General features: G+C 42.4%; 1 protein-coding gene across 32 annotated transcripts in view, besides 1 other annotated feature; it reads right to left on the bottom strand.

Moving 5' to 3' along the window:
• The window catches only part of UNC79 (unc-79 subunit of NALCN channel complex), a 374,695-nt gene continuing 364,248 nt past the window's right edge, over window positions 4,330–14,776 (bottom strand). For all 32 annotated transcript variants that reach the window (XM_011537027.3, NM_020818.5, XM_011537026.3 and 29 more), the window contains 2 exons: window positions 7,540–7,581; window positions 4,330–5,502 (listed from right to left, as the gene is read on the bottom strand). In XM_011537027.3, coding sequence (XP_011535329.1) covers window positions 5,302–5,502; window positions 7,540–7,581 — 243 coding nt within the window. In that variant the 3' untranslated portion in view covers window positions 4,330–5,301. The remainder of the gene's footprint in view (window positions 5,503–7,539; window positions 7,582–14,776) is intronic.
• Window positions 5,025–5,525: an enhancer, noted in NCBI's record as "H3K4me1 hESC enhancer chr14:94173027-94173527 (GRCh37/hg19 assembly coordinates)". NCBI's record gives its function as "activates a minimal SCP1, AML or CMV promoter by ChIP-STARR-seq in primed H9 embryonic stem cells {active_cell/tissue: H9 hESC(primed)}" and the evidence as "EXISTENCE:reporter gene assay evidence [ECO:0000049][PMID:30033119]".

Genomic DNA, 14,776 nt, shown 5'->3' with positions numbered 1-14,776 from the left:
GCCAGCTGGTAACTTGTGATCTAAATGACTCTAGGTTACCTTGGAGGTCAGATGAGTAACAAGGGGCTTCCTATCATTTAGCTATTGGTAATATGTAATAGCTCGAACCTGGGCTTTGGAGGCAGAAATATTCAGATTCAAATTTTGCTCTATCTCTTACTGAATGATTCCTGCAATTATTTAATCTCTCCATGCCTGCCTTTTCCCGTTTCTAATATGGGGTTAATAATAGAAGTGTCTGCCTCACAGCATTGTTGTGAAGATTAACTGTTGTGAAGTTACTATATCAAAACTGCTATATATGACAAGCTCTCCTACTGGTCACTATGATTATAAGTAATTAGGGGCAAGTTTCCTTAGGGCTGGGTAAACCCTCAATAGGCCCCTAATCTAGCAGAGTTTATCATCACAATCTTTATTTATTTATTTTTTTATTTTTTGAGATGGAGTCTTGCTCTGTCACCCAGGCTGCAGTGCAGTGTCACGATCTCGGCCGGCTCACTGCAACCTCCGCCTCCTGGGTTCAAGCGATTCTTGTGCCTCAGCCTCCTGAGTAGCTGGGACTATAGGCACGCACCACCAAGCCTGGCTAATTTTTGTATTTTTAGCAGAGGCGGGGTTTCACCATGTTGGCCAGGCTGATCTCGAACTCCTGACCTCAGGTGATCCGCCTGCCTCGGCCTCCCAAAATGCTGGGATTACAGGCATGAGCCACCGTGCCCAGCCCTATCATCACAATCTTCTACTCATAATTATTCTTTCTCCTAAAACTACTATATTAAGTGGGAAACTAAATGTGATTTAATTTGTAATCCAAATTTTTTTTGCATGTACATGAATTCCCAAAGCAAGGGGAAAAATGCCTATGTGAGATGAAGTGATAAACAGAGATGCCGATAACATTGAGCCACCTCAAAGAAAAAGACCCTCAGATCTCTCTACCCCATGCTTCTGGCACATTTTAGCCAAAGGAGCCTAGACCCCAAAAACAGGGAATAGAAATGAACATGTATTGAGTGAGGCCCTGCTTTGGAGGCAGACGGCCTTCAGTCCTAATGCTACTCCCGCTAGCTGCATGATCTTGGATAAGGCACTTAACCGCTGGGCCTCAGTTGCCTCACCTGCAAAGTGGGGATAATAACAAGGCTTATCTCACCCAGGGGAAGGGGCTAAGGAATAAAAATCATGTATGTAGAGTGCTTGTATCTAGTAGATGCTCAATAAATGGTGGCTATTATTGTTTCTCTTGTATCCCCTTCAACTGAGGCTCACTACTCGTTCCTGTCAGTGAAGAACTGGCCAGCCTTTTACTAATAACACATCAGCCGTCTCCCAAAGCATTCAAACTCCACAAAAACACGGTTCAGTACTATTCCATTGGGTTCCAACCACTCCCTTCATTCTTCTTAAGAACCTACCATTACTGTCAAAACACCAATTTTCCAAATATACATATTTGCCCATCAGTTCTATTAAAGAAGTATAATAAACGATCTGCATTGTCCAATTAATGCCAGGGGCCCAGCTCATGAAAGAGATGGGAGGACCCATCTTCTCTGATCCAATCCAGTCTTATTTGGCCTGTTGTAGCTTGGAAACAGAGACGAATCTGCTGCAACCACTTGGCCTCTGATGAGAGTCTTCGGGAAGAGATTTGCTGGAAACATCCCGGTGTCAGGCTGAATGACATGCTTGCTAAGAGATGGTACACAGTGGAGACTGGATGCTCTTGGCTACTGCCATGTTTGGGCTCTCCTGGGTATTGTAGGTCTTAATCCTGAGGCACTGGCTGAAGAAACAAAACCAAATGAGCCTGTAGCTGTGAGCTGTCCCTCTGTGTGCTCTTCAGGAGGCAGCAAGTCTTCCCAGGGATGCACAGATTCCAGCGCAGTTTCCCAAGTACCATCACAGTTCTCCACCCATTTGAGCTTTCCATCACCCCAGGAAGATGGGTAGACAGCACCATATTACAGAGAAGGAAAAACAGAGGTCCAGGGAGGTTTAGTAACTTGTCCAAGGTCACCCAACTCATAAGAGGCATGCCCTTTGTGAAAAATCATTAAGAATAGAATCTACACATTTGGAGATTTGGGCCGATTCCACCCTTGGGAATCTCAGTGTATTCTGTTCACACACTGAAACCAATAGGGTGCTATGTGGAAAGGAAAACAGTCTGTACTGTGGCCGTTCTCCACGCCAATAATTAGTGCTGGTCAAATTTGGATCAGGTAAATTTTGCTGAGATCTCCCTGCCCTCTGTTCTGCATTTGTGGCCATCACCTGGGGATGATGTGTGCTGTGGCAGAAGTTCATATGGGCAGCGGCTGGGAGCACAGTCCTTGGGGGTCTGATAGCCTGGGTCAAGTCCTGGCTCTGCCTCTTACTAGCTGCATGACCTTGGGCAAGTAGCTTTACTTCTCCAGGCTTAAACATAAGAATAAAAGGAATAATCAGTAACTTTTAACAAGTGCTTACCACGTGCTAGGTGTTGCCCTAAGCCCTTTTCTTGCATTCTTTCATCATCTCAACAGCCCTCTGAGGTAGAATGTGTGTCATTGTCCCCATTTTACAGATGAGGAAACACTAATATGGAAATCCCAGTGCCCCTAAGGTGGTAAGGGAAATATATCCACAGAAGGGCTGGCTCCAGCTCAGTGCCTTTCAGGGGCCTTTACATAGGTCAGAGGTCAGCACTCTTTTTCTGTAAAGGGCCAGATGGTAAATATTTTAGGCATTCTGAGTCATACAGTCTCTGTCGCAACTCTGCCTACTATTGTAGCACAAACTCAGCCCTACACAATATGTAAATGGCGAGTGTGACTGTTTCCACTAAAACTTTGCAAAAACAGGCTGTGGGCTCCATTGCACCTGTGAGCGGAGGGTGCTGACTCCTCTGCCTTAGGTGAATGGGTTCTCTTCCGACTTATTATTAGTGCCAATCTTGCTAAATTTCCATAAGTCCCCTCTCTTCCTTTTTTCTTCTAAGTGCCTGAGCCCAACTGGTTGGAAGCTTTTGGTCCCCTCTCTTTTTTTCATCGAAGTGCCTGAGCCCGACTTGTTGGAGGGTGGACATGAGGTTGCGGAAGAAGATGAGGACACTGGCAATGGCGGGTGCAGCATAGGCTGGGGGAAGCTCACTAGTTTCCATCAGCCAGTGAAGTGGCAGGGTGCCAGCAGGGACAGCATTTGGGTCAGTTGACAGGGAAAAGGGTCCTGGTTCTCAAGAGCAAGGAGAGAGATTTGCCTGGGAGTGACCAAGACTCTAGGTCAAGGAAACAGGTCCAGACAGTTGGAAGCATTAAATGGGGGCCCCAGTCAAGAGTGCCAGGTTAAGGGTTCGTCTGCAGCTTGGGGAAGATGCAAACACAAAGAAAAGTTCAGGCAGAAGTCCATTCAAAGAACTGGGCAAAGAAGAGGGAGTGGGAGAAGAAGGTGTGGGTAACTTTGGACCTTGTCTACTGGTAGGATGGGGCCACTAAGATCCTGGCTGCCTGGGGCAGGGTGGGCTCAGGACTAGCCAAGAGCCAGGCCTGCAGCTGAGCCCAGATGAGGATGTCAGTAGAAACCCTCACAGGGGAAGCAGCCAGAGCCTCCTCCTCCTCCAGGAACCGATGCAAAAAAAGAGAATGTCACATGCAAAGCTCATGGTGCCCATGGGGAGCTCAAGCAAGGCCTGTTGCTTAACTGAATCCATTCCATTCGATAGACATTAATTAAACATGTACTGTGTGCCAAACCATGAGGAGACAGAGATAGCACGTATGCTCAAAGCTGTCACCGTTTACAAGTGAGATAAACAAATGCACAACTTGACTATGAGACAAAATGTTCACGGAAGCTCAGCCAAGCATGACTGAGACGGAGAAGGGTTCTGTCCAGGGAGAGGCCTTTCAGAAGAGTTTGTTAGCCAGATATGAAGAATGATCACTTCTGTACTCTCCATACTGAGCCTGAATGGTCCTCTGCAATTTGTATAAGGATGAAGATTTGAAGATCACTCTTTCTAGAACTCATATGAACAATTAAACATCTGAGGGCTTGTTTTCCTCTGAGAAGCATTAAGATCTCAGAGCTCCCAGAAGAAAAAGGAAGCCCCTTAATAACAAACATTAAAAAAAAAAGGTCTTTTGCCCTCAGGGTCCTTCCTAGAGGTGGACTTCAAACAAATTGTGTATTCCTCTCATCAAATGGCCAGAAAGAAAGCCTTTTCTTATTCATAATTTCAGTTTTAAGTGAAGTTAGAAGCTGTAGAACTTTAGAAGGAATGGTTGTCAGGAACTAAACTCTAGCTCTATAAACTGGTTTTAAAAAACCCCAGGCTCACAAAGATAATAAAAAACGCATTTAATAGCATGTCAATATACAGTTTAAATGTGTAGTAAGTCTTCTGTTAGTCAGTGCATTACAGGGATAAAGAGGAGGAATTTCATTTGGAATGCACAGTCCAACGCTAGGTATAGGTGCAGAGAAATCTTGGTGCTCTTACACTATTAAAATTCCGTTTTATGAAACATCACTCCAGGTGCAGGGCACTGTGCCAGTGAGGGACTCATCTGGTCCAGTGTGCAAGCTACAGTTTTCAATTAAATTGTATACAAGTATTAACAAAAGAATAAAATTTATTATTCACAAAACTAAAGTGGTTATCATAAAGCTTACAAGAGAGTACAGCCTAGAACTAATGAGTTGAAAAACTAGTTTTAAAAATAATAAAACTTACTGGACAGTTTTGGAAAATGATATTATAAAACAACGAAAACAATTGGCACAGTTTAACCACCTAATTTCTAAGTGCACTTTGTAATGTTCCTTGCAAGCTGCCACTTTTCCCAGGATAAAGACAAAAAGCTTCAGTCAGGTGTCACTGGCTTATGGTGACGGTTTTTTTTATTGCATTGCCAAGAGTGGATTTTAAGAAAAAACACTACAAAGGTTTCAAAAACCCTATTTATTCTCTATCATCAAAAATAGCAACAGGGGGACTTATACAACTTTTCTGTGAGTACCCACCAGTCTATTTTTTTTTCTTAAAAAAAATAGAAGTTAGTTAAAGAAAAATGATTTGGTTTTTAAAAAATAATGTAAGGAAACACTTAATCAGATAGCCCAAGGAGTCATCAGAAATATGTGTAGCAAGAAAGCTTCATTTTCGGCCCTCTCTGGCCTTTGCACATCTTTTACTAAACTAGAAAGAGAATGTACAGTACCAATATGTTCCCCAACCTGCTTGGATCAAATTGTTTGTTTTTAAACCCATTATTGCTAAACCAGAGTGTTGACACTGAGCGCCGAGGAGTCCACTCATAGAGGATAAAATTGAGAGGCTGCTTCCGAGGACTGGATCTCCACCTGGGCCATTTTGAACTGAGTGCACTGCAACCACTTTCGGAGGGCTGCCAGGCCAGCACTGCTCTGGCCCGAGCCCGGCAGCGTCCTTAGGCTGTGGTGGTTCACGTGGTTCTGAATAGCCTGGAGGCGAAGCTGGAGTCCCGCAGATAAGTGCTGTCGAAAAAGGGCAAGAGGTTTTAGTTTATTTCTTTTCACGGGCAACCCAGGGAGTGTCGACCCGGGCGGCTTCTTGCAGGCAGAATTTAGGCTTGGCTCAAGGGTTGTCTGGCCTGAAGAAGGCAAACTCTCTACTCTGGCAGTGCCCAGGGCGGGGGATCGCACCGTGTTTTCTAGAGTCGTCCTGGCCCAAACCCATCATAATAATGACATGCTCACCTTGACAGACTCACTGCAATGAAAACATAAAGCTGCCACACCAGTGCTGGGCTAACACATAAACTTGGCCCCAGTGAACTGTTTACGACAGGGACCTGGTGTGGTGGTGAAGTGCCCGGGTTCTGCTGTCAGGATCCCTGTGTTCAAAGCCTGGCTCTTCTATAGGCGACTTTGGGAACAAGGTTTATTGGTCCGTGTTTGGGTTTTCTCATGGGTAAAGGGGGGATAGTGACACTTACTCAGGGGGTTTGTGTAGGACAAATGGGTTAAAAAAGTGCTCAGAACAGAACTTGGCACATGAAGAAGCTAGGATGATAGCTTCTCTTCTTTCTCCAAGCTTCTTAGGGAGTTCTGTCGGCCTGCTCCTGGCCATCTGGGCAATCGCCACAGATTGCCATAAAGCCGGGAAAGGGTAAGAGAGGCAATTTAAAATGCTTCAAGCTGAGAGTGCAAGAAACTCTCTTTTCACAGAAAAAACTAGTACCGAGAGGCAGTTTTCAGCAGTGCCCATGCCCCCGACGGCCGCCACAAATAGCACCAAGGCCGTAATCAGGACTCAAAGGCTGTGGTCATTGTTGACAGCCGCATTTTTCTCTTTTGGTGTCTGGGTACCCTGAGTTCATACCGCTTTCCTTCCACTAGCATCCCTCCCCAACTCGGAGAAGAAACCCAGCAAAAAACTTTCCAGCTTTTCCTCCCATCCCCCTGACACTCTTAGTGCTACAGACAGGACCCGGTTTGGATGGAGCAGGCAGCTGGCTTTGCCATCTTAAGTCACGCCCAGTAACTCTGTTTGCTGGTCATAGAGTATGTTTGCCCCTACAATGACAAAGCGCCAGTCAAGGCAAAGCCTGGGGCTGGGAAACATATTCAGGCGGGATCTCCTCTTTTAGGCTGTGGGGCCCTGACCAAGTCACTCTTCCTTTTGGTCCTAAATTTCTTCATATATAAAATGAGGCAGTAGGTTCCTTGTAGCTCAATCCTATCATTTATTTGAGGTTGTCCTGTCATAACAGAATTCTTCTCATGATAGAAAATCCATTTTAGCAACCAGGACACATCACTGAATGTGCCTAGGTATCCTCCAAGGGGTCGGTATGCTACTCCTCTTTTTTTTTTTTTTTTTTTTTTTTTGAGAGACTGGGTCTTGCTCTGTCTATATATACACAATCTTGTTACTGCAAATAGTGACAGTTTATTTTTTCATTTCCAATTTATATTTCTTTGATTTCTTTTTTTAAAATAGAGACAGGGTCTCACTCTGTTGCCTAAGCTGGAGCGCAGTGGCAGGATCATAGCTCACTGTAGCCTCGAACTCCTGGGCTTCCAAGTGATCCTCCCACCTCAGCCTCCTAAGTAGCTAGAACCACAGGTGCATGCCACCACAGCCAGTTAAATTTTTATTCTTTTGCAGAGATGGGGTCTCGCTATGTTGCCCAGGCTGATCTCCAACTTCTGGCCTCAAGCAAACCTCCCACAATGGCCTCTCAAAGTGCTGGGATTACAGACAGAAGCCATTGCACCCGGCCTCGGCCTGTACTCTCATCAGTGGATTGAGGCTTGCTCAGACCCTGGGATACCGCCCTCCACTGCATCCTCACCAACCTCAAGCAGTAGGACAATGGTTCCTGCTGCCACCCCCTGCCTGCAGAGCCCTTACCTGGCCCACAGGTCTCCTGCATTATCAGCCCTCTAAGGCCAGGAGCAGGTTGAATTCATCCTTCTCCATAGTAAATGGAGCATCAACAATCCCTAGGAACGTTATACGTTCTCTGCAGGAAACCGAGCTTCCAATCAGCCCAGGGAGTGACTTACCTTGATATTTGACTGAATCATTGGCAACCACATAGGTATCAGCTGTATAGAGAAAGACAAAAGCTTCATTATTAGTGTCCTCTATTCTCCCACAAAGCTTCGCTCATTGCAAGGGAAAACAGGCCACATTGAATCCCTTTCACGTCGCGCACGGATGTGGGCCCTGCTGCAGGGCTACCCGTTATCAGCAAAATGTCTTTCTGAGGCCAAACCCCGCTGAGCCAGTGGCATTTGGAGGTTAATAAGCGCCCCATGAGTGCCTGAGATACACACTTTAGAGTAAATGACTGATTGTCTCTCGAAAGCTACCAAGCACAGGAAATTAAATGTGTATTTATTTAATTAAATCCTCACTTTCTTGAAATAGAATTTCCTCCACAGGATCTTTAGAACTGAGTGTCTGAGTGGAATGGCGACTCTATTTGCCTGTAGTCATTAAGAAAATATCTCTGGTCAGTGGATGGAACACTTAAGTGAGCGAGAAAGACCACTCCAAGATGCCTGGCTGCGATCTGGAAGGTGTAATACAGCGAGACTGAGCCGGGTGTCTGCGAAGTGTGGGAGCACACACAGCCAAGCAGCAAGTCCCTGCTGGAGAACCCTGGCCCTCTGCTGCCTCTCTGACAGGACCTCAACCCCTCTGATGTGGTCCTTCCTGGGAGGAGGTCATAGGTGCCCTGGCCTGAGGACCTCCAGAAGCTGCTCCTTCTCTCTGCTTTGGGCCCTCCTCCGTGTTTCAGTCCTTTAAAATCTAAGTAAATATTCATGGCCTTGTGCATCCAGAAGTCGGAGACAGAATATGGCATTCCTCAAACTGTGTCCCATGGCACTCTAATTTGGAGAGCTTTTAAATGGTGGAGGGGGACTCCGATCCAATAGGTTTGGAAATGTTAGTTTCTATATTTCAGTACTTCTCAGATCTTTAATACACCAATATGCATCATATCATTTCGCTCCATATTCCTTCCAACCCTCCACTCAAATAAAGGAGTAGTGTTGTCATGCATTGAATTGTGCCCCATTAAAATCTATATTGAGGTCCTAATCTGCACTGCATCACAATGTGACCTTATTTGGAAATGGGATTGTTGAATATGTAAATTAGTTAAGATGGGGTCATACTTGAGTAGGGTGAGCCCCTAATCCAATATAACGGGTGTCCTTATAAAAAGGGGAGTTTAGACACCTACACACAAACACACAGAAAGCATGCTATGTGAAGATGAAGACAGGGACCTACAAGCCAAGGAACCCCAAAGACCCAGCAAACCACCAGAAGCTAGGAGACAGGTCTGGAACAAATTCTCTCTCCAATCCCTTAAAAGAAACCAACCCTGCCGACACCTTGATCTCAGCCTTCTGGTCTCCAGAACTTCCAGGGAATACATTTCTGTTGGTTGAACCACCCAGACTGTAATACCTTGGTAGTCCTGGGAAGCCAGAACAAGGGCATTCCAGGAAGCAGAGAGAAGGCATGGCGAAGCTCATTGGTGGGAGTGTGCAGAGAGTCGGGGAGGGGAGACAGTCACGTGATGCTGACATGTGAGGCTCTTAGAAAACGGCCATGAAAAACAAGTTTAGAAAAGCACAGGCCAGGCCTTCACACCCTTAGCCCACCAGATGGCCCTAAATGCCAAATTAGGGGATCTGAATTTTATTCCAAATTCAATACAACTTCCGAAGAGGGGATGCTCTATTCACCATGAGCAAAACAGTGCTCCAGACAGATCACCGTGGCAGCAGCCTGCAGATTAGGGTGAAGAAGGAGGCAGGGAATGGAGGCAAGAGCCACTGTGGAGGTTGCCTCAATGGTCCAGAGAAGACCAGGGACAGTTTCTGGGGATGGGGAAGGATTCCACCTGCAGAGACAAATCTTGAGGATCTGAGGATGAGTCTGCTCTTTCAAGTGAGGAAAAGGTCAAAGAAGAGGTAGAGGTTTCTAACCTGGGCAAACTGGGGGACACTGATGTAATGAACAAAACCAAAGACGAAGGAGAGCTTTTTGGGATGGGGGACAGTATGTGAATGACCTCAGAGTTCAAAGTTAGTCATAGCCATAAGCTGCTGGTTTCATTGAATTCATCACATTTTCTTTAAAATGAACTTGGTGAAGTGATAAGCTGCATTTCTCTCCCTGTTTTTGTTCCCAAGGCTAAATCTGGCTGTTGTTTGACTTTTAACATTCTGTTGATGTATATAATTCGCTAATTTGACTTCTATTGACATTTACTCCTAAACATTCCTAAACGTAGTGTTTCTGTTGCAGCTAGCTAACACTTGGTCTCTAACATGAATACTGTGTTTATAAATGGAGTATGGTGTGTATCAGAAAATGTAATGAGACTAAAGCTGAAAATATCAGAAGATGCCACCCTCTCCATGCCTCCCCCTGTCCCCCAACCCTCATAACAAAACGGTGGGATTACAAAGATTGGTACCAGATAAGGCTGTGCCCTCTGACCCTTACTAGGACTGGCTCCTCTAGACATTCTGAATGGAAAAAAAAAATTTATCTAGTCTAACTGTCTCCCCCTATAATTTCTGCACAGCAAAAAGCAAGCCCTGGAGGGTGCTGATGCTACAGACTTTGTTGACCTTTGACTATTTAATACAGAAGTGGGCCCATACGCCTCTTGATATTTGGGAAATACCCAAACTAACCTCCTGTTAAGAATTGTGAGGGACTTGAGAAGAGTAGGGTCAGGGAGTACTGAGTACCCTGTCCCTGGGTGGATACCTTTCCCAGTGCTGCCACTGTGGCTAAGCGTCCATGTGAAGCAAGCAAGGGGAATAGTGATGTTGGTCTAAAAGTGTTTTTATTATTTCCCCATTGATGTAATCTATGACCATGTGATTCTAAAATATACCTGCAAGGGACCTTCAGGTTTGTGATTTGCAAATCACGTGACTAAATGTATCCAGTTAAAGCTCATCATTATTGATGACATTATATAACCCAGCCATCACCCTATTTCAGAAATGTTAATTTGACTTATTGAATAACTTTCATTTTCATTCTCTTTTGCTAGTGGTTCCTACAAATCTGTCAGTAAGAATTAGATGTGATTTATTTTGGGCTCTGCAATGTTATGATGGAGTAAAGTTGGTTGGGCTTTTTTTTCTCCCCCCTCTTCAGAAACAATATCCTGAAAACTGAAGGACATTTAAAAAATAGGTTTTCACAAGAATAAAAGTGATACCCTTCCTCTTATCTTGGTTCATGCTACAGAACAAATGGAAGACTTCCTGCCTGGTTGGACTGTACTCATTTCAATCCTGCTTATTCCAGCCCTCAAAATTAAAATTGGTGATGAAACTTTCTCTTTCAGCCAAGATGGAGTAACAAAGACCAGATTTACCCTCCTGCCTGGGACAACTAAAAATCCAGACAAACTATAAAAAACAATGTTTTTCAGGTATTGAGCATCAAGAAATGCAGGACAGAGATCACTGAGGGAAAGGAAACAAACCAGGTGAGTCCTGCAGGTATTCCAGCTCACTGCCTAGAGAGAGTTTTCAGGCAGTAGCACTGGCAGCAGGAATGCAGGTGGAGCCTGGCAGTCTTCCTGAGTGAGGAGAGGTAGCCAGGAGCCCTGGGAGGTCAAAGTGACTACAGTTTTCAAGGTAGAGTACTGGACAGGAGAGATCTACAGAGAGAGAGACAACTCCAAAGATCTGAAAAGGGATCCCCCTGAGTCTTCAGCTGAGTGCTGACCAGTACATGCAAGTTATAAAAACTACCCAACACTGGAGAAAAAACGACCCGAAAATCTTAGAAGGAAAAAAATCCCCTGGTGATTATATAGGGCCAAGAATATTTTGTGTTCCTATTAGTCAGAGTGGAAAAATCTTATAACTCATAGAACATCATGAGAGTACTGATAAGGATAGTGGTATACAGCAGCAGCAGTGAAGAACTACGTGCCCTACAAAAATTGCTGCTCTGATCAATACCTAACAAAGCTTAAATGTTAGCCTCAGAAGGATAAAGATATTTGTAAGTTATGTAACTATGTCACAGAATACAGCTTAAGAATATTTTATATGAATATAAAAATATCCATCACCCAAGAAAGTCAAATTAACAATGTCAAGAATACAATAAAAAATTACCAGGCATGCTAAGAAACAACAACAACAAAAGAAACACACGAATGAGGAGAAAAATCCATTAACAGAAAATAAAACAAAAATGACACAGATAACAGAACTAACAGACAAGGACATTAAAACAGTTATGATACCTATATTCAATATGGTCAAGAAGGTAGAAGAAAGATTGGGCATGTTGAGTAGAGGCACTGAATAAAATATTTGAAGAAACAATGGCTGATATTTTTCCAAATCTAATGAAAACTATAAATCCAGAGATTCAAGAAGCTCACCAAACCCAAGCACCAGAAATATGAAGAAAACTCTACCAAGGCATAGCATCATCAAATTGCTTAACCATAGTGGCAAAGACAACAGAGGAAAAAAGACATATCACATACAGACAAAAAAGATAAGAATGACAGATTTCTTGTTGGAAACAATATAAGCAAAAAGACAATGGAGGAGCAATATCTTTAAAGTATTGAAAAAAAAAAAAAACCTCCGAAACCATCCATCTAGAATTCAATACCCAGTGAAACTGTCTTTCAAAATTGAAAGCAAAATAAAGCTTCTAAAACATACAAAACCTAAAACAATTAATCACCAGCTGACCTGCACAGGAGACTTTACAGAAAATCCTTTGGGCAGAAGGAAAGATGAAAGATGAATGTTTAGATCTATAGAATGAAATGAAGAGCATTAAAATGGCAAATATAAATATGGCAATTATAGCAAATATAACTGAACATAAAACTTGTTTAAAATCTCTTTAAGAGATAGTCAACTGTTTAAAGCAAAAATAATAATGTATGATTTGCTTTATAAAATATATAGAAAATGTATGACAATAATAGCAAAAAGTCAGGAGGTGGGAAATGGAGGTATATTATTGTACAGTTCTTATACAATATATGAGGTGGTATAATATTCCTTGAAGGCAGACTGTGATTAAAAATATATACTATAAACTCTGAATCAACCACTAACACAACAACAAAGACATACAGCTAAAAGATAATTAAAAAACACACTTCTAAACAACTTAAGGGGCAAAGAAGAAACCAAACTGGAAATTAACATTTTGATCTGAATGGAAATGAGAATCTCTCAAAATCTGGGGGAAAGCAGCTAAAACAGTATTGAAAGGAAATTTAGAGCACTAAATGCTGATGTTTGAAAAGAAGGAAGTTCTTAAGTTAATTATCTTAGTTGCCATCTCAGTTTATCTTAATTAGACAAAGAAAAGGAAATTATATCCAAAATTTAATCATAAAAACCTTAATCCAAAAGAAGGCACAAAAAGAGAGGACAGGAGACAAAGAACAGATGTGAAATATAGAAAACAAGCAGTAAGATAATAGATTTAAACCCAACAATATCACAAAACACATTAAATGAAAATGATCTAAAAACCTCAATCAAAAGGAAGAGACTGTCAGATTGCATTTTTTTAAAAGCAACATCCAACTTTATGCTGCTTATAAGAAATGCAGTTTAAATACAAAAACATAGATAGGTTAAAAGTAAAAAGATGAAAAAATATGTACCATCCTATCATTAGTCAAAAGAAAGCTGGACTGTTTTATTAGTAAATATTACCAAAGATGGGTAACATTTAGTAATTTGATATAGCAAAAGTCAACACTGTTCAAGTGCAGTGGTGCAATAATACATATATAGTAAATGGTACATATTTAAAACACCCAGTTTGATAAGTCTTGACTTACATTATGCCATGCACCACAATCAAGATAACGAACATATCCATCACCTCCAAGTTTTTTCAGCCTGAGCACGGTGGCTTATGTCTGTCATCCCAGCACTTTGGGAGGCCAAGGTGGGCAGATCCCTTGAGGTCAGGAGTTCAAGACCAGCCTGGCCAACACGGTGAAACCCCGTCTCTACTAAAAATACAAAAATTAGCTGGGCATGGCGGTGGGCACCTGTGGTCCCAGCTACTCAGGAGACTAAAGCACGAGAATTGCTTGAACCCGGGAGGCAGAGGTTGTGGCGAGCCAAGATCGCACCACGGCACTCCAGTCTGGGTGACAGAGCAAGACCTGATCTCAAAAAAAAAAAAAAAAAAAAAAAAAAACCTAAACTAAACTAAAAATATTACCAAAGATGAAGAGGGACATTTTATAATTTCAATTCATTAGGAAAATATAGCAATCCTAAAGACATAAGCCTAATAACAGAGCTTCATAATACATTAAGCAAAAATAAATCCACATTCAGAGATATTTCAATACCCCTTTCTCAATAATTGATAGAATAAGTTGACAGACATAACAAGAAGGACATAGAAGACTTGAGCAATACAATCAAAAACTTTGAACTAACTTACTTAGGAAACTCCAAGCAACAACAGCAGAAGACACATTCTTTTCTAGTGCACACAGAGCATTTATGAAGATACACAATATTCTGGGCCATAAAGCAAGTCTCAATAATTTAAAATGAATCAAATTATATAAAGTATATTCTCTGATACATTAGAACTACAAATCCATAACAGAAAAATCTCTGGAAATCTTTAAATATTTGGAAGTAAAACAATATAGTTCTAAATAATCAATGCCAGAAAGAAAGCAAAAGAGAAGTTAGAAAGTATTTTGAACTGAATAAAAATGAGAACACAACATGCCAAATTGTTGGATGCAGCTAAACCAGTGCTTAGAGGAAAATTTATAGCACTAATCACTTATATTAGAAAAGAAAAGTCTCAAATCATTGTGCTCTACCTCAGCCTCCCAAGTAGCTAGAACTACAGGCATGTGCTACCATACCCAGCTAATTAAAAAAATCTTTTTTTTGCAGGGTAGAGACTGGGTCTCAATATGCTGCCAGGCTGTCCAGGCTGGTCTTGAACTCCTTGACCCAAGCAATCCTCCCTCCTTGGCCCTCCAAAGCACTAGGATTACAGGCATGAGCCACTGTGTCCACCCCCTAACAATCTTTTTGTAGAAATTGACAAACCAATTTTAAAATTTATCTCGAATGGCAAATGACCTAGAATAGCCAAACAACTTTGAAAAAGATGAATGAATTTAGAAGGCTGACACTACCTGATTTCAATGAATATTATAAAGCTATAGTAACGCAGACAGTGTGTTATAAAAATAGACAGAGATCTGGCCGG

This window comes from Homo sapiens, chromosome 14 (assembly GCF_000001405.40).
Source record: "Homo sapiens chromosome 14, GRCh38.p14 Primary Assembly".
In the NCBI taxonomy this organism is placed as follows: Eukaryota; Metazoa; Chordata; class Mammalia; order Primates; family Hominidae; genus Homo; species Homo sapiens.
The sequence above is the reverse complement of the archived record's forward strand: the minus strand, read 5'-3'. Positions and strand labels throughout refer to the sequence as shown.